Source organism: Homo sapiens, chromosome X (assembly GCF_000001405.40).
Source record: "Homo sapiens chromosome X, GRCh38.p14 Primary Assembly".
NCBI lineage: Eukaryota > Metazoa > Chordata > Mammalia > Primates > Hominidae > Homo > Homo sapiens.
The window spans coordinates 72,293,012-72,311,894 of NC_000023.11; the positions used below are offsets into that span (position 1 = coordinate 72,293,012).

General features: G+C 48.5%; 1 protein-coding gene and 1 long non-coding RNA gene across 6 annotated transcripts, besides 4 other annotated features; one reads left to right on the forward strand and one right to left on the reverse strand.

The window, feature by feature from the left end:
• CITED1 (Cbp/p300 interacting transactivator with Glu/Asp rich carboxy-terminal domain 1) lies at positions 8,635-14,146 on the reverse strand. 4 transcript variants are annotated; one of them, NM_001144885.2, is made up of 4 exons: positions 12,814-12,903; positions 12,291-12,411; positions 9,799-9,923; positions 8,635-9,233 (listed from the first exon to the last, which is right to left on the reverse strand). In NM_001144885.2, the coding sequence occupies exons 2-4, from the start codon at positions 12,301-12,303 to the stop codon at positions 8,712-8,714; spliced, it is 660 nt and encodes a 219-aa protein (NP_001138357.1). In that variant the 5' UTR covers positions 12,304-12,411; positions 12,814-12,903; the 3' UTR covers positions 8,635-8,711. The 4 variants fall into 4 exon arrangements, with proteins under 4 accessions (NP_001138357.1, NP_001138358.1, NP_004134.2 ...); NM_001144886.2 differs by lacking the exons at positions 12,291-12,411; positions 12,814-12,903 and adding an exon at positions 14,014-14,146; NM_004143.4 differs by lacking the exons at positions 12,291-12,411; positions 12,814-12,903 and adding an exon at positions 13,466-13,859.
• LOC105373250 (uncharacterized) lies at positions 13,091-18,730 on the forward strand. 2 transcript variants are annotated; one of them, XR_938441.2, is made up of 3 exons: positions 13,091-13,209; positions 15,432-15,587; positions 18,691-18,730. It is a non-coding gene; the product is annotated as an uncharacterized LOC105373250 (long non-coding RNA). The 2 variants fall into 2 exon arrangements; XR_938442.2 differs by lacking the exon at positions 18,691-18,730 and adding an exon at positions 16,427-16,757.
• Positions 13,888-14,182: a silencer, noted in NCBI's record as "tiled region #2135; HepG2 Repressive DNase matched - State 4:PromP, and K562 Repressive non-DNase unmatched - State 4:PromP". NCBI's record gives its function as "represses a minimal TATA promoter and a strong SV40 promoter by Sharpr-MPRA in HepG2 and K562 cells {active_cell/tissue: HepG2 | K562}" and the evidence as "EXISTENCE:reporter gene assay evidence [ECO:0000049][PMID:27701403]".
• Positions 13,909-13,958: an enhancer, noted in NCBI's record as "active region_29759". NCBI's record gives its function as "activates an Ori minimal core promoter by ATAC-STARR-seq in GM12878 lymphoblastoid cells {active_cell/tissue: GM12878}" and the evidence as "EXISTENCE:reporter gene assay evidence [ECO:0000049][PMID:35858748]".
• Positions 15,875-16,376: an enhancer, noted in NCBI's record as "NANOG hESC enhancer chrX:71528736-71529237 (GRCh37/hg19 assembly coordinates)". NCBI's record gives its function as "activates a minimal SCP1, AML or CMV promoter by ChIP-STARR-seq in naive and primed H9 embryonic stem cells {active_cell/tissue: H9 hESC(naive and primed)}" and the evidence as "EXISTENCE:reporter gene assay evidence [ECO:0000049][PMID:30033119]".
• Positions 16,103-16,152: an enhancer, noted in NCBI's record as "active region_29760". NCBI's record gives its function as "activates an Ori minimal core promoter by ATAC-STARR-seq in GM12878 lymphoblastoid cells {active_cell/tissue: GM12878}" and the evidence as "EXISTENCE:reporter gene assay evidence [ECO:0000049][PMID:35858748]".

The following is an 18,883-nucleotide window of genomic DNA, read 5'->3' on the forward strand; positions in this document are numbered from 1 at the left end:
CTTTTAAATGTATTAAGGTTTGTTTCTGAACCCGCATATGATCCATCTTGGTCAGTGCTCCATGAATACTTGGAAAGAACGTGTATTTTCTGTTGCTGGATAAAGTATTCTATAAATGTCAATTAGATCCTCTTGGTTGATGGTTTTGTTGAGTTCTTCTATATCCTTGCTGAATTTGTCTAGTCATTTTACCAATTGCTGAGAGAGGGAGTTGAGCCCTCCAACTCTAACTGGGGATCTATCTATTTTGTTGTTCAGCTCTCTTGGTTTTCGCTTCATGTATTTTGAAGCTCTGTTGTTTGACGCAAACACTTAGGATTGCTACGTCTTTTTGGTGGATTGATCCTTTAAACACGTCTCTTTTGTCCTTAGTAACTTTCTTTGCTCTGAAGTCTATTTTATCTGATATTAATATAATCATTTTTGCTTTTTAAAATTAATGTTTGTATGATATATCATTTTTCCATCCTTGTGCTTTCAACCTACCTATGTTGGCATGTTTGAAGTGAGTTTTCTGTAGACAGCGTATAGTTGAGTTGTGCTTTTTAGACTTTTTTCTTTTTTTTTTTCAGAGATGGTGTCTCGCTATGTTGCCTAGGCTAGGCTTGAACTCCTCCTTCCTCAGCTGGAATTACAGATGCGCACGACCACACCCAGCTGGGTCGGGCTTTTTTTTTTTTTGGGAGACACTCTCACTTTGCCACCCAGGCTGGAGTGCAGTGGTGCGGTCTTGGCTCACTGCAACCTCAGCCTTCTGGGTTCAAGTGATTCTCCCGCCTCAGCCACCCGAGTAGCTGGGATTACAGGTGTGTGCAACCATGCCCAGATAATTTTTGTATTTTTAGTAGAGATGGGGTTTTGCCATGTTGGGCAGGCTGGTCTCAAACTCCTGGCCTCATGTGATCCACCCCCGTCGACCTCCCAAAGTGCTGAGATTACAGGTGTGAGCCACCATGCCCGGCCAGGGTTGTGCTCTTTTAAATTCACTCTGCACCAGGTGCGGTGGCTCATGCCTATAATCCCAGCACTTTGGGAGGCTGAGGTGGGTGGATCACCTGAGGTCAGGGGTTCAAGACAAGCCTGACCAATACGGGGAAACCCCGTCTCTACTAAAAATACAAAAAATTAGCCGGTCGTGGTGGCGGGCGCCTGTAGTCCCAGCTACTCCGGAGGCTGAGGCAGGAGAATGGCATGAACCCGGGAGGCGGAGCTTGCAGTGAGCCGAGATCGCGCCACTGCACTCCAGCCTGGGTGACAGAGCGAGACTCCGTCTCAAAACAAAAAACAAAGAACAAAAATTAGCCGGGCATGATGGCATGTACCTGTAGTCCCAGCTACTAGGGAGGCTGAGACAGGAGAATTGCTTGAACCCGGGAGGCAGAGGTTGCAGTGAGCCGAGATCATGCCACTGCACTCCAGCCTGGGCGACAGAGTGTGATTCCAACTCAAAAAAAAAAAAAAAAATGCACTCTGCTTATCTCTTTCTTTTAATTGGTATATTTAGTCCATTAACATTGAAGGTAATTTTTATTATGTCAGGGATTCAGTCTGCCATTTTATATTATTTGTTTTTTGTTTGTTCTTTTTTTCATTCTGCTTATTTTTGCTTGCCTTCCTGTAATATATTTTAGAATTTCATTTGGATTTATTTATACTGATTCTGAATATATTACTTCGTATAGTTTTCCTAGTGGTTGCTATAGGTATTACCATATATATATATGTGTGTGTACATATATATGTACACACACACACACATAATTTATCATAGCCAAGTGGTGTTCAAATGAGTTCAGATTGAGTAAATTCTATTGATCTGTCTTCAAGTTTACAGAATCTGTCCTCTGTCATCTCCACTCTATTATTGAGTCCATCCAGTGAGTTTTAAAATTTCAGTTATTTTTTTCATTCCATTATTCCTTTTAGTTTTTTTTTTTTTTTTTTTTTTTTTGAGAGAGAGAGGGTCTCACTCTGTCGCCCAGGCTGGAGTGCAGTGGGGTGATATCGGTTCATTGCAACCTCCACCTCCTGGACTCCTCCCACCTCAGCCTCCTGAGTAGCTGGGACCACAGGCATGCACCACCATGTTTGGCTAATTTTTGTATTAATTTTGTATATAAATTTTATAGAGTTGCATTTTGTATTTCTTTGTAGTTGCATTTTGTATTAATTTTTGTAGCTGCATTTTGTATTAATTTTTGTAGCTGCATTTTGTATTAATTTTGTATATAAATTTAATTAATTTTGTATATAAATGTTGTAGAGTTGCATTTTGTATTTTTTTGTAGAGACAGGGCTTCACCATGTTGTCCAGGCTGAGTTCTATTTTAAAGTATCTATTTCTTTGCTGAGATTTTCAATTTTTCATTTATTTCAAATGAATTTGTAATTGATTGTTGAGAAGCTTAAAGGCCCTTGTCAGATAATTCCAGCATTTGATTCATCTTGATGTTGGTATCAGTTGACTGTCTTTTCTCATTCAAACTGTGGTTTTGCTGGCTCTTGTTATGATGAGTGATTTTCGATTAGTATCCTGAACATTTTGGTATTAGCAGGTAGTTACCCTACTTAGCATGTAGGTTCTGGTCTACTTTAGTGGGCCAGTGACAGTTTAGTCATTGGCCAATGACAGTTTAGTTTTCTGAGCCCATGCAATGTTACTTTGGTCGGCTTGATTTTTCTGCTATTCCTGGGGTTTCTGCTCAATCCTTGCTGGTTCTGTCTACAGGGGCAGAAGGTCCTTCCTTCTTTGAGCTGCATATTTTTGGTGGGTGATCTTCCAGGGGAGAGAGTTGCTGAAGCCACTGTGTGTGAGTCTCCTTATGCCATTGGGTGGAGGGAAAGGAGACACAGGGCTTTGTTCCTGCTACCTATGCAGGCAAATTGGGTTGCCTGCTGGTACCCCAGTTCTGGAGGGAGCCACTGAGACAGCCCAGGACTTTGCTTGCTGCTACAAGTAGATTGGACCACTTTCTGGGGGCTTTAGTTGTGGAGCAGGGCTTAGATCTCCCCACTAGGTGTGTGTCTGGCTTCATCTTTCCCCGTCCTTTGTGTGTGCATGCGTGCATGCTTGCACGTGTGTGTGCGTGCGTGCATGTGTGTGTGTGTGTATGACTGTTGGTTTTAGGTTGCATGCCTCTTTGGCACCCAGTCTAGGAGTATACAGGAGATAAAAAGAAAACTGAGGAAGCTCACCATGTCCTGAAGTTCCTGACCTGTCTGTCTTCTTTCCTGCTTTCAGTGTCCTTTTATCATTGCTTATTGAATAATTTCTAGGGTATAGAGTTGCATTTGAAGGAGAGGAGCAGTCATTTTGTTCCAGAATCAGAAGCCCCTAGTGTAGTTTTAAATTACATTTCTTGTAGTGTGAGTGAGGTTGAGCATCTTTTGATAAGTTTTTAAACCATTTTAATTTCTTTTTCTCTATTTCATTTTCTGTGAACTGTTAATATCATTTGCCTATTTTCACATTGGGCTGGGGGTCTTTGATGTATTGATTTGTAAGAGTTGTTTTCGTATTCACTAGGAATTGCAGATATTTTCTCTTTTTATCTCAGTTTATCTTTTGACTTTGACTTTGACTTTGTTTATGGTATGATTTTTGCTTTGCAGGTTTTTTTGTTTGTTTGTTTATTTGTTTTTTTGAGACAAAGTCTCACTCTGTTGCCCAGGCTGGAGTGCAGTGGCATGGTCATGACTCACTGCAGCCTCAACTTCCTAGGTCCAAGTGATCCTCTTGCCTCAGCCTCCCAAGTAGTTGGCACCACAGGTGTGCGCCACCATGCCCAGCAAATTTTAAATTTTTTGTAGAGACAGGATCTCCCTATGTTGCTTAGGTTGGCCTTGAACTCCCAGGCTCAAGCAATCCTTTCACCTTGGCCTCCCAAAGTGTTGGGATTACAGTTGTAAGCCACCATGCCTGGCCTATTTTTTTAAATGCAGTTAAATATATCAGCCTCTTCCATAGCTTCTGGGTTTTGTGTCATTCTTAGAATGGCCTCCCTATTTCAAAATTTTATTTTTAAAAATCTCCTTTTTGGTCTTCTACTACTTTCATGATTTTAATTTTTATTTTTAAATCTTTGGCTTATCTGGAATTCATTTTGGTGTAAGTTTGGGTTAGTGTATCCAGTTGTCCCAAAGCGTTTATTGAGTAATCCATTATTTCCTCACTGCTTTGGAATGCTAATTCTTGTTTTTTTTTTTATTTTTAATTGTGGTTAAAACCACAACATAAAATTTACCATCTTAACCATTTTTATGTGTACAATTTAGTAGTGTTAAGTATATTCACATTGCTGTGCAACAGATTTCTAGAACTCTTTCATCTTGCAGAACTGAAACTCTATACCCATTAAACAACAACTCTCCATTGAAATGTTACCATTTTATCATAAACTAATTTCCCATCTTCTTTATTCTTCCTGGACCACTGTCACAGCTTTCTAGAATCACCATAATTCCAATTTGTCATGCACACCATTGCCCGATTAATTTTCCTCATGCAAGCTCTGACCTCAACTCTTCTTCATTTAAAACCTTCAGAGGCCCTCTCTGACACTGCAATTGAGATTAAACCCCCATGATACCCTTTCATTGTGCCCTGTACCTTTTCTTCCTATCACTTCTCATGATTTGTAATTTTAATTATCTGCATGATCACTTGACTACTGGCTATCTCCTTGCTAAACTTGAAGTTTCATGAGAGCAAGGACAATGTGCTTACCACATATTCCCAGTGCTTAGCATTGTTCCTGGCACAAAGTAGGTGCTCAGTCCTTATTTGTGGAATGAGAGATTGTCCCTTACCTGTGGAATAAAGTATTAACAACTGCAGGATCTGATTTTACCCTACCTCCTCTCGGTCCTCTGCTCTTTGAGGAAGTCAAGCTGTGGGACTTCCTTGACAGAGGCTTGGGTTTTCTAACATTTTGTTCTGGTTTACATCATGCCCTGATTTTATCTTTGTATTTGTGCTCCAATTGCCCCCTCATCCTGGAGGCCATGCCATCCACTCAAGCCCCCACCAGCATTGCTGCTTGATGGAAATACAGTTCATCTTTCAAGGCTATGGCTATCTCCACCACTGAGCTATGAGTTCCTGGAATGCAGGAACGGGGTTCTCTCTAGTTTGTCCCTAGGGAGCAGCACTGCTCCTGGGCTCTAGGAGGTGCTCTTGGCTACACATTTGTTCTGAGCAGCAAGCTCCTTGCGGGTAGATAGTGTTCTTTACTTGTGTACATCTGGGTACCTTGCCTCCTAGCCCCCAGGGCCTATTCCAGGCCAGGACTTGGAGTTGGCTTCAGGAATCTTCTAGTAACCTAATGAATGACTGCGTCTGGTGTGAATATGACCTCTATGGCAAGGACTGAGACTTGCCTGCCTTTCTTCCACTGTGCCTTGTGGGTTCCCTTACTCCCTCTCCTTCTCTAGCAATAAAGTTACTGACCCATGCCCTCCACATCTGCCCCTGTGCAGGGCCTTGACTCTCCCTTCAGGATGTCCCATGTCTTCTCCCTCCAAGCTCTCTGGAGAGGAGGCTGCTCCGTTGGCCACATTTCTGGCCACTGGCACCAGGAGGCAGGGTTGCCATGCCAAAGTTCCTGCTCTCCCTCCCCATTCAGAAGCACCTTCTCTAGGTTTGATGGGTAATTTTGTATGTCAATTTGACTGGGCTAAGGACATTGATTGCTGATCAAACATTTCTGTGTGTGTCTGAGAGGGTGTTTCTAGAAGAGATGAGCATGTGAATGGGTAGACTGAGGACAGAAGATCACCCTCAGCAATGTGGGTAGGCATCATCTGATCTGTTGAGGGCCCAAGTAGAACAAAAAGACAGAATAAGGGTGAATTTCTTTCTGTCTAAGCTGGGACATCATTTTCTCCTGTCGTTGGACCTCTGTGCTCCTGTTTCTCAAGCCTTCAGACTCAGACCAAGGCTTACACCATTACTATCCTCCACCTTTTCAGGCCTTCAGACTCCGATGAATTACACCACTGGCTTGCCTGGTTCTCCAGCTTGCAGACAGAAGACTGTGGGACTTCTCAGCCTCTATAATCTTGTGAGCCAACATATGTATATCTGTATATCTCTATCCTATTTGTTCTGTTTCTCTGTAGACTCTGGTTAATATACTAGAGATGCTCAGGCCATTCCCCACCATCATCTGCCTCCCAGCCACACTCCTGTCACTCCCATGATTCCAAAGCAGCCCATCCCCCTCCTGAAGGCACTGGCCCCTGGCTCAAGCTTCTCTCCACCCCAAGGGCTACTGCCATCCTGGGGGTCCCAGAGCTTATACTCATAGAGATTAGGGGTGGCAAGCTGGGGATCAGGCGCTGAATGCAGCCTCCTGACCTGTTTAGTTTGGCCAGAAGTGCGTTTTTTGAAGGCCCCAGCAGGGGAGGGACCCTGGGATCCTCTAGCCTTTCAGAGTTCGGCTCCATCCACATCCTGTCATTCTGCTTTAGCTGCCATGCCTGTGTCCACACTGCCCTTGTGTTGCTAGGAGCTGTGCAGATTCTGAGACCCTCCTTCACCTCCCTTCCTAGCTCCCCCAATCTTGCCCATGTGCAATAGATAGATAGGGCCGAAGAAGGATCCTATGACCTGGGAAGTCAGGTCCCTCCTTCCTCTCCCTTCCTAGCTCCCCCAATCCAGTTCCTGTGTTCTCCTCAGAGACCCAAGGCCCTCAAGCCTGCTCTGCTCTCCCCACCTTCTTCCAGCCTTCGTTTCTTCCTTTTCCGTTTTCCTACCCTTGCCTCATCAGCCCCCTCAAAACCCCATGTCTCCCTGTTCCCAGCCTTAGATGAATCTAACCATCTACCTTTATTGAAATCATCTTAAAAACAAGATGTTAAAAGTTGGTTAATTATTTGCTTTCCTACAAACCTCCAGAGATTCTTCCAGAGCCACAGGACTGGTGGCACTAAGGCGAAGGCTTGTTTCCAGAAGGCCCTATGGACTCTGCCTTTTGTGAACTTCTCCAACCTCATCTCCTCCCGTCCCCTCTGCCAGCCCTGTGACATAGCCTGCATGCTGAACTCCTGGTTTTCAGCCACTGTCACCCCTCTCATGCACCTGTGCCTGTTTAACAGCTGTTCCCCTCACTCATTCTTCCCTTGGCTGATTCAAGTCTTATTTCGAAAGCCAAAACTTTCTTCTGGTGGATCTACCTTTATGTAAGGACAGAGAGCAAGGCCAGCAAGGATGCACCACAAACAGATAAACAGTTGCTACCTCCGTGGAGAACCAGAGGCAATCAGGATTGAGGGGGAGATTTGGTCAAAGGGTACTTTAGCCTTATCTGCAAAGCTTCTACTTTTTACAAGGAGATTGGATAATGGATTTATTGCTTGTGAAATATGAAAACAAATAAAGCAGTTCAATACAAGGAGCCTTCCCCAGACTTCCCAGGCAGATGGAGCTGTTTCCTTTTCTGGGATTGAATAGCACCTTCCCCCTCTGTTCTAGGAAATGCTGTTTTATTATAATTTGTTTGTGCCTGTCTTTCTCCTTCTGAGATGAGGAACTCCCTCAAAGGTAAACTTCATCTAATTCATGCTCCCAGTGTCTAGCAAAGTGCCTGGCCCAGAGCAGGTGCTCAGGGAGTGCTGAATCCAATCAACGCCCCTGCTAGCACACTCTTTTGAAAGTGCTTGCTAGGGGGCAGGCCTGATGCTAGTCCTGAGAGGCTGATTAGAGTCGTTTTCAGCATTCAAGGAAGAAGGCTGTCTGGGAGTCCGAAACATGGACAGAGTGTCCAGGACATTGGGTTGTATCAACATGAGGACAAGGCTTTATCAGTGTATCACAAGGCCAGGATCCAGTGCAGTGCCACTGCCTTGCCACTTGGCATGCTTCTGAAGCCACTGCTTCCTCAGCAGTTAATTGAAAGGCAAGGGATAGATCGCCAAATGTTGAACTTGTCAAGCCTAGTTCTGATCTGTATCTCTAAGATGGAGAGGCCAGCTCAAACAGGGTGGGTCAGGAAGGTAGGAGTTAGGGACACTCAAGACCAGCTCAGAGTGTCCCAGGCTGGGAGGACTGAGCAGCTATGTGAGGAACCTGGAGAAGGCACCTCAAACCCCAGTTTAATGATGGGAGTCTCTTGCTTTTGCAATTTTCCAGAGAAATCTGAGCTCCCAGGTCACAGGATCCTTCTTCAGCCCTATCTATCTATTGCACATGGGCAAGAGGGCAAAGGAAAGGCCTTAATGGGTCAGTTGGATTGGGGCTAGAGAGTGGGTGGGGGTGGCTTTTACAGTTGGTGAAGTGTGTGCCACGTGGCCAGGAATGTGCCTTTAGACTTGGATGTGCATGTAGCAAGGAGGCTGCACAAAGGTCTGATCAGTCTCTCTTCCAAGAAAGCCCCCAACCAGCCCCTGTATGCCATGGTGTTCCTGGAGTCTTAGGGCAATGAGACCAGGTACTCCTGAGGAGATAGCCACAGTGGTGCTGGCAGCAGGAATTCAGTGAACAGCCCCCTTCACCCTCCCTTCTCCTTCCATCCCATCCAGCTCCTTCCCAGCTAGCCACTCACAACCCCGCCATGGGCCTCAGAATTGCTAAAGGGACATCAGACCATACTACACATCATTAGATCTCAATGAAGAACACCTCTAGTTGGCCCGTCTCTTTGTAAGTAACTTTATTTTTATTTACAACAGAATTGGTGGCTTTATTCCTCCATCTTTAGGGACACTTGGCATTAGCAGCTAGATGGAAAGTCCGCAGTGAAGTCAAACTCATTCTGCCCCAGCCACAGCTCCGGAAGCTCATTGGCTCGGTCCAACCCCAGTTCCACCACCAGCGACATCAGCACTTCCTCATCCACTGGGTCCGAATCGATGATAGCAGGGCTCTGGGCACCAGCAGAAGGAGAGAGTGATTCTGCCCCTCCCGCCTGGGCCCCAAAGTCCCAGTTTTGCAGGGGTCCTGCCTCCCCGGGTTGGCCTGGAGTGGCAGCAGCCATCCCCTGATACTGGCTATTAAGTTTCTGCAGGTGCATACTAGCCAGCAAGTGAGGGGCGGGGTGCAGGTTGAAGGATGGGGGTTTAGTGGGAGGGGTGGTTGTAGGAGAGCCTATTGGAGATCCCGAGGAACTAGTGGGAGCCCCACTGGCCTTGGTTCCATTTGAGGCTACCCCAGGGTAGTGCAGAATGGCCACTGCTTTGCGATCTTTCACCGCAAGGTTGGAGTAGGCCACGGAGCTCATCTCTTGGTTGGCATCCTAGAAGACAGAGAAAAGCACACCATAGTAACCCTGCTCCTGGCTTGTCCTTCACCATTCAGCAGATTTAGAAGGTTCCTACCTGCACTTCATTTGGGACTAGAGGTGGAGAGGTAGCAAGACGACCCCCTTGAAAATTAGGCTCCCACCTCAAGCATCCTTTTGCTGCCATGGCTCTGAGCACTGAGGCCAGAGCCCAGTTACAGTGCTGGAGCACCTGCCATCCTAAGTGGGTTCACTGCTTTCAGCTCCTTCCCCATAGCCTCCACCTCACCATCCTAAAAAGGGCACCTCCTGTCCCTCTTCTCAGCCTCACTTTAGTCTCTTCAACAGAGTGGTTTTGCTCCTACTCAATTTCTCTGCTCCCTTCCCTGCCATCTTTCAACACCCCTAGTGGGTTCAATCTGACCACAATTTAGGCAGAAGCTGTTCTCATTCTCCCCAGAGATAGTCCTGTTGTCTCCTCTCTGCTCAAGGACACTGGGTAATGCACCTAGGAGGGCCTGGCCCATGACCCCGGAAAATTTGTCTTTCCCTGCCTCATCTGTAAAATGGCAAAAATTACCTCCTTCGCAGGTGAGGTGCCACCCTTGACATCAAGTGCAGGCCTCGACGTTGTTGGCATTTCAGAGCCTTGGCAGAAGTTGGATAAATTGGCGGGAAGTGATGCTGCCAGCTGGAGCTGTTGTGCTGCAAGTGAGGAAGAAGCAGTGGTAAGGGCAAAAGGCTTCACTGACCAACAAAGCACTAGCAAAGCCCAAAGCAGGGCAATGCCACGCAGCTATGAGGCAAGGATGGTGACTGAGTTAGAATCAAGACCAGAGATCACCCGAGCACAGGGAGGAGATCAAGCTGGAACTTTTGCCTGAGGCAGGAAAGGTGCTTGATTCGGCCAGGTACTGCCCAGGCAGCCACCTACCCATATCACCAAGATGGGACATACTGCTTCCTCATGCAAGTGACTTCACAGTCCCAAGGTGTATGTGTGGGGGTGAGGGTGGCACTGTTCCTGGTTCAGAGGACAGGAATGTCCCTGAGTAAGCAACATATTGTCTCAATGGGCTACTAGCATCCAGGCTGGAGAGTTGGGGCCTCCACTGGGACTGGGAGAATGTGAGAAGAAGTCAGGGCAAGGAAGACCTAGAAAGCTAGAGGCTGCAGCACAGGGAAATAACAAGTCTCTAGCGCAAATGTCATGGAGCTCCAAAGCATGACCTTGGGCATGCCTGTGAGAAGCCAGGCTGATTAGGGTGGTCTGGGGGCTCTGAGGCAGCTGGAGCCAGAGAAGCTAGGAATGTGTCACTTTCCTCCATGTCTCAAGCCCCCTCCAAGACAGCCCCAGCATTGGGCTTTCCTAGGATGCCTACCCCAGAAACCTGAGTCCAGCCATTCCCATCTATAGTGACAAGTGAGGCACAGAGATTCAATGCCTTTTTAGTCAGGTAGCAGCGGTTCTGGGAGCAGAATCTAGCACCCCTATGGCCACATGCCTCACCTGACCACTGGCTAAGTCATCATACCTAGCTGGATTCAAAAGGCTTCCAAAGAAGTGATTTCCTGGCTCAAGTGCCAAAGGATAAGGGAATGAAGGCAAAAGAATACCTCCAAACCAGAAAATAAACAAACCTCTGAAAATCTCAACTTATTTTCCTGGAGGCCTGTTTACAAAGAAGAAAAAAATGTCCCATAGCTAGGCACAGTAGCACCCTCCTGTAGTCTCAGCTACTCAGGAAGCTGAGGTGGGAGGATCACCTGAGCCCTGGAGTTTGATACCAGGCTGGGCAACATAGCGGGACCCTATCTCTTTAAAAAAAAAAAGCCCCATATATTCTAGCTTTCATGATCAATTAGAGATGTAGAATTTCATATTTATAAATACCTCTTGGTCCAAAGAATCTTGAGGACCTTAAAAAGAGTCTCTAATCTTTCCAAGGAGGCTAGAATTCTCCGTGACACTCTCCACTCCGCAGCGGTCATTAAGAATCTGCTCAGACACTTCTAGAAAGTGGCCACTTACTACCTCTCTGTATCATCTTTGCATTGCTTACTTGGGTGGATGGGGGTAGGGGAGGGAAAAAATAGAGAAAGGGGTAAACATTTTTTTAAAAACATGAGGAAAAAATATCAGCTGTTGGGTCCCGCATCATTGCTTGATTGAAGCCCTGCTCCTTCTCTGAGGCAACCGTAGAAAAATATTTCAAAAGCAAGTGATCACCAGACAAGAAGTCTAACACATGTCGTCTTCAAGAGCCCTAGCACAATCAGTATCAGACAATTTTCCTGTCCTAAGAAAAATGTCTGGGGGCCCTGTCCATCTTTTCCTGTTCCTATCCAGCCTTCCCTCTCCTTTTTGCCGCTTGGTACCCGAATGTACAAAACGAAGAAAAAACAACAGGAGCAGCAGCAACAACAGCAAAACCAAAAGAGAAACATTAGAAAAATCAAAAGAGAGAACGAGCAAAAAAACTCTCTCTATTCTGATATCAGTTCGTGGGGGAAGACCATTTTACCGCGCCTCCCTCTTCAATCTGGGAGCTCCCCCAGAAGAGGCCCTGTGTCCATTCAGATCTTCTGCCTTCCATTACTGACCCACCACCCACCCTGACCCCAGCCTGGGTCTGCGCTCAATAGGCGCTCAGTAAGTGTTGTTGAATGCGTCTGAAGAAGCAATCGCATTTCCATCGGCATCCCTGGCTCTGCTTCCCCGGCTTTCTGCCCTCCTCCACCACCCTCTAGCCCGTTCGTGGGCAAAACTTGGCAACGCGGAAACGTCCCAGCCCGCTCTCCAAGCCGCGAGCTGACCACTGCGAAACGGCTGCGACAGGCGGCTGGGAAACCTAGAGCAACAAGTGCCTTCTCGCCGGCTGATGCCTGGCGGCCCCCCGGCCACCAGTTCCCAGTCCCGCTGCCCGCTCTTCGCTTCAGGCCTTCCCTTGGGCGAGCAGCCCCCTCCCGCCTAGACAGGGGTGGGAAGGGGAGAGGGAAAAGAGAAGGGAGAGGCAGGTGGGGGCCTCATCTTTAACCTGTTGGGGGACCAAAAGTTAAAATGGCACCAACCGGATGGTTCCATCTCGATTGCTATTTTCTCACTCAGAAGGAGAAATTTAAAAATCCAAACAGCACTGCGGCTTGGCTTGGACGCGCTCTAACCAGACCAGTCAGTTTCGCCACCTGAAAACTAAAGGCCCGTTGTTTGCGGACAGCTCGGCTGCCCTCCTCGCCGCATCCCAGATGGAGCCGCGGAACCGGGGGCGGCCGGGAGCATCCCTTGCACGGCGGGCGCGTGCACCCAGGCCACCGGGGCCCTGAGCGTCCGTTCCCGCAAGTGCTGTATCAGGAACTGATCTTAGAGACAGGATGGACAGGCAGGAAGGGGCACGGGGTGTCGGCCTCCGCGGCGAGTCCGCACTCCGGCGCCGGCTGCTGCCACTCTCGCGCCTGATCAACACTTACTGAGCGCCCGCTGAGCATCCGACGCGGCAGCAGGCTGAGCCTACCCCCTAGCCAAGCCGCCTGCGGTCAGTGCTAAAACCCCGCTAGGAGAAGAGTGAGAGAGGCTCGGAGAGGTGCGGTAACTTGCCCAAGGTCACAGCGCTAGAAAGTGGCGGAGCCGGGATTCGCAGCCAGGTCTCTCTGACTCCAAGTCCGGTGCTCTGCGAAGCAGGGACTCGGCGCGCGGCTCGCCAGCCCGCGTTTATAGGGAGAGGGGTGTGCGCGTGGGTGTGTGTGTGTGGGCGTGTGTCGGGGGAGGGGAGGGCTGAGGTCGACTGGGCAGTAGAGGCAAGTTGCCCAAATTCGCTAACTTCCATCCCGCAATTCCGCTGAACTCGGCCCGAAAAGCCCCCTCTTGCCTCAATTCCCCGAAGTAAATCTGAGCTTTGTGCAGCTCCGGAGCCAGAGCGTCCAGATGCGGTCCGGGAGATTAGCAAAGTCGGTGGAAGCCAAGCTGGAGAAAGCGCGGGCGCAGGGAGAAAAGGTGCTGCCGTCTCCCCGGGAGAAGCGGGCACCCGGCCCCGCTGGCCGGCAGGGGGGCGCGCTGGCAAGCGAACCCGAGCGCTGGCGGGCGGGCGGGCGGGCGGCCCCTCGCCCCCAGCAGAGCAGCTTTCCAACAGAAAGCAAGTCTCCCCAGAACCCTCCGGCCCGCCTGGCGGCCGCCCACTCCCCATACCCGCTCCACGGGAGTCCTCGGCCCCGCCGCCCAGCCCGGCGCCCAGCCCGGCGGCCCGGCTTACCTCTGAGAAGCCGCCTGCCCTGGAGAGAGGGAAGCGCGGAGCTCGGTGAGCCGCAAGAGAGGCGGCGGAGCCCCCAGCCCCTGGCACGCACGCCGCCGCCACCGCTACCGCGAACCGGTCGCGCTCAGCGCCCGCGGCCGCGCCGTTGGCCACCCGACCCCGGGGCGCCTGGGAAAAGCCCGCACCGCGCCGCGCCGCCGCTGCACCGCACAGTGCCGCGCCAAGCAGCCCCTGACCGAGCTGGTGCCCGCCCGCCCGCCCGCAGCTTCGGCGCCGGACTCCGGGGCGGTGGCGGTGGCGGCCACCGCGCTCCCTTCCCGGCGCTGGGGACCCGGCTCTCAAGCCCCCATTGCCGCCCGGAGAGCCCTGACGCACACGCACACGGCAGCAGACTGGCCTCGGCTAGGAATCCCAGGAAGGACAGACCCTTTTTTTCCCTTTTTTTTTCTCCCCTCAATTTCCACGTCTTTATAACCGGCTTAGGGCATTATTAGCACATGTCCTGGCTCGTGGGCGAGTTGGTGGCAAAATCTGAACTGGATACTCACGGAGGGCCCGCGCGGGTGCTGTGCCGTCCGCTGCTCTCTTCCTCCTCACCGAGAACTGCCCCTCGCCGGCGGACTACAAGAGGGCAGCCGGGCAGAGCGAGCTTCCTCTCGGCAGCTCAGCGGTGCCCCTTCTGCAGCTTTGCCGCCGGGCACATTTTTATAGCAGCGGCTGGCGTCTGTGGCCCTTTAAAGGCGCTCGAGCTGGTGCAGTCACCGCGGATCGTGTGAAAGCAAAGGGCCGGCTGGGGAACGGAGTCCACGCGGCCACGCGAGTCCGGCAGCCCTGTGGACCGGCCAAGGCTCCCGGGGTGGGGCTGGCGAGTCCGGGCTATGGGCAGCCCTCGCCCGGAGCCCTGGCCAGTGCCCGGCTTCTAAAGCTGTCGGGGGCCAGGGCCCGGGACACCGGCTCTCCCCACCGCCCTGCGTGGACTTGCCCAATAAATTCCACTTAGTAATTTCACTGAGGCAAAGGAGAGCCGTTAGTGTCTGTTTTCTGACCTAAATCTAGTCGGGGGCCAAAACGGGCTTCAGGGGTTTTGGGAGAGAGCTGTGGGCTCAAGGAGTGACCTGGAAGAGCGGGGCGCACACGAGACGGGGGAATGGTCATTAGTTTTCTGCAGGGCTGTCTTGGAGCCTGTCTGCCTTTTGGGGGGGCTGTACTATCTCATTCGTTGAAGAGCTGAGGCTGGGGGCTCCTTTTCCTCTTAAAGTCGCCAGATTCTGGGCAGAGTCGCATGGGGGGCCTATATGGCAGCGGTGGCTCTTCTAGAAGTTCTGAGCTGGGGTTGGGTTCGAGGGTTTCTGTTCTGTGGTCATCCAGGGCAGGAGGCTGGCAGGATGCGACCCGGAGAAATGCTACTCTCCCGGACCGTGGGGCCAGGTACAGCTCACTAGGCTCGCCGAAAAGCCAACAGTAGGCAACGGGGTACGAAGAGCTTGCCCCAGGGTTCGCGGAGATTCCTCCTGCCTTCCCACGATGTCAGGTTGTTTTATTGTAACTACATAATCATTCCCGTCTAGCAAGAATAACGTTTTGCATTTGGAGTTCGTCTTTCTTAGGTAGAGATGTTGTCTTACAAATCCTTACTGGAAAGAGGTCTGGGTCTTCTCCTTCACCTCAATTCGGATTCTTTGTGGCCAAGAAATTCCCACCTTACCACTTACAGGGAGGCCATCGGGATTACCCCTCTGTCACCCCCCCACCCCGCCCCGGCCCCGCCGCTCTTTTTTTGCTGCCTTTCAGCAACAGCGACTCAGTTTACACTGTTTATAAAACATACTCTTTAAGAAAAGGTCCTGATGTTAAAAAAGGGGGGGAGGGAATGTCACGAAGTCATTTTCACTATGTATGTGTTCTGTCTTCTTAATTGGATTTGAAGACCTGAAGTTCTCTTTTTCTTTTCTTTTTCTTTTTTTAGTAGCCCCAAGTGCCCTGCATTTGCTCTTCTAACAAAGTTCTGTTTGTTGACGGACTGACCGGCTTACCGACACAAAGATGGGAAGCAAATGGAGAGACGGATCAAGGCCCTTCCTCGGCATCTGGAGGAAGCTTGGGCGAGTGTCTTGGTCGCCAGGTAAACCCATTCTCCAGCCCTCAAGGCTGCCTTGCACAGCTCCAGTCTTTTCACTTACCCTGTCCCAACACAAACCCCGGTAGCATCCACACCCCACACATCTTCGCTGCACTTTCTCACTTTGCTTGCCAGATTGTGGGCCCTGCCTAGTCTCCCTCTGATAAAAGGCGGGATCTGTCGGCACCCTAAAGCCTTACTGCAAACCGCGTGTGAAATACACTCTCAAGTTCTCTTGGTGTTTGCCTGGGATGAAAAAAAATGTTTCTGCGAAAACTAAGTGGTGGAGAATGAGCGACTCTAGGCTTTCGAATTGCATGTTACTAATTTGAACCCCTGACCCACCCTCCCCGTCAGCCCCGGCTTGGCTCGGGAGCAGGTCTGGCAACAGCGGCAGCTTCTCCGCTGCAGGCTCCGGATCCGGGAGGTGTGGATCCGCCCTCCATCTATTGGATGGCTCCCAGGCCAATTGTTAGAAAGAGGCATATGTTCATCTCGGCTTCTGGAGTGTCTCCGGAGCAGTTGCTCAACAGCCAGCCCCCTCCCCCATCCGGACCATTGAAGGGCAGAAAAAGGAGCGCCCTCCACCACATTTCTCTGTGCCCACATGCCAGAAAGGGTCTCCCCCCTGGTGACTTCCTGTCATCTCCACTGCTTACCTCCTGGGGAGCAGGAACGAGAGGGGCTTCAAGCACTCAGCTTTGAAGCACAAAAGCCACCCCTTTCCTTTTTGGGGAGATGGGAGAGGAGGTTAGTTGCAGAGGCTGAGAGGGAGCAAAGGAGACATTTGCATTTCTCGGCAAAAATGCTCTGATCACTGACTTCCCCGTTGGCTCCAGCAGAGCTCAGAGCTCTCCGCTGAACTCTTATCTCCAACTTGGCAACTAGACCGCGAGCTTGCGAAGCAAGGAGAGGACAGGGATGGTCACCTACCGAGAACCTCTGTGCTCCAGCGCTGGGCCTGGCATGTTCCCCATCCATCATCTCATTTAATTCCCAGGACAGCCCTTTGAGGTAGGGTTTACCAAAGGTGAATGAAACAGAGCCTCGGGAAATTGCCCAAGTTCACATAGCCACGTGGCTGAGTGTTTGAATCTGGATCAGGCTGTCTGCAAAGTTTTTACCCTCAGCCCTAATCCCCGCTGCCTAGGAGGGTAAGGAGGCTGTCTAGAGTGCAGGTTCAGGGGTCAGTAGGCCTGGGTTTAAATTCCTACTTTGCCATTTGTTAGCGGTGAAGTCTTAGGCCAATGGCTTCATGCTTTGGTCTTCAATTTTCCCATCTGTTAAATGGGGATAACAATGGTACCTAATCTGTGGGGGTTGCTTAGCCTGATTGGTGCCCGCAGTGTAGTAAATGGCCAATAAATGCTGTTATCGTACTGGACCTTCTGATTATTTTCCTTTTGCCTCCCGTCCCTGCCTCAGCTCACACACTTCAGATTCAGTAATACTTGCTGAATGATTAATTTTAAAACCAGACTGAGAGGGGATGAAGGAGGTCTATAAACTCAGGGAGGAGAGAGAGAGAGAAAAATGCAGATTTCTTCTTAAAATCCCACCCTCCAGAACCAAGGACTGCCTGAGCCATATGACAGGAGTAAATTTGGGACCAAAAAAAGGTGACCACTTTTTACAGGTCAGCCTATAAACTTACAGAGTGGTCTCCAGAAACATATACTCAATACGTGTGTAGAAAAAACTTTAAAAGCACAAGTTTTTATTCAAGAATATTTACAGCAGAATTGTTGATAATAGTGGAAAATGAAAAGGAACCTAAATGTCTATGGTAAGGGTGTGTCCCTTGGTACCTTGACACACACACACACACACACACACACACACACACAATCCTGACTTTGAAAACTCTTATTCATAGGAAAATATTCATAACAAAATATGAAATAAAAAATGCTGGGTACAAAGTTGCATAAATATGATGCCAAGCTGCAAAGGGCACAAAGGGAACAAAATTAAATACTCACTATGTTTCCAATCATGTATGAATATGTACAGAAAGCGACAGTCTGGAAAATACCAAAATGATAACAGTGCCAGTAGAGTGGTAGGATTATGAGTGATTTTCTTCTCTTTTCCCCATATTATGCAATATTATTCTTATAAGTAAATATGAGTTTATAGTTAATAAACTCCATAAATATTATGTTCCCACTTTTGTTAAAATATATGTGCATAGAAAAAATATCCATAATCTCACTACTCAATTATAATCACTGTTAACACCAAAAATTGTTAACGGTGATTATAATTGAGTAGTGGGATTATGGATAATATTTTTATTTTGCTTTTCTTTTTCTGCAGTATGATTATATTACTTTCTTACAATTAAAACAGATTCATAATTTGAAAAGTACATAATCAGAGGGATCCCACTTGGGTTAAGAGTATGAATGTAAATTGAAAAAAATGAGAAGGAAGAATACTAAAATATTAAGAGTTTTATATTAGGTGGTAAGGAATTATGGGTAATTTCCTCTCTATTTTCTGTAATCTGCTTTTATTATTTTTACAATTAAAATAAAATGTACCTAAAAATAACATATACAATATGATCCCACTTTTGTTAAAAACGAATATGTATATAGAAAAAAATAATAAACTACTCCAAAATGTAGTAGTCTCTGGGTGGTGAGTTTATTAGTGATTTTTGTTTTCTCTTTCATACATGATTTCTTCATATGCCAAATTTTCTACAGTCATCATGTATTAATTTTTTTAAAAAGTGTAAAGTACTTCGGTAATGAAGTTTTTATGGAAAAAAGAGCATGTCTGGGATTTGCTTTAAAACATTCCAGTTGAGGGTGGGGGGAAAGTGGACAGGGGATATAGATTAAATAAGATGATAATTGTTGAAGATGGCTTCATTATAATGTGTTTTTGTTTATTTGTTTGTTTGTTTTGAGACAGGGTCTCACTCTGGCACCCAGGCTGGAGTGTAGAGGCGCGATCTTGGCTCACTGCCACCTCCACCTCCTGGGCTCAAACAATTCTCCCACCTTAGCCTCCAGAGTAGCTGGGACTACATGCGCGTGCCACCATGCCCAGCTAATTGTTTGTGTTTTTGCATTTTTTGTATTTTTTTTTGTAGAGATGGGGTTTCATGATGTTGCCCAGTTCTTGAACTCCTGAGCTCCAGTGATCAGTCTGCCTCGGCTGCCCAAAGTGCTGCGATTACAAGTGTGAGCCACCGCGCTGGCCTATAATGTGTTCTTTACTCATGTATATGTTTTTTAATTTCCATAATAAATTTTTTACAACTATTTTTCATATACATTATCTCT

Excerpts from the sequence above, each read along its gene's own strand:
- CITED1 (NM_001144885.2), bottom strand. Across the intron at positions 9,234-9,798 it reads GCACCTCACCTGCGAAGGAG|GATGCCAACCAAGAGATGAG; the intron begins GTAATTTTTGCC and ends TCTGTCTTCTAG.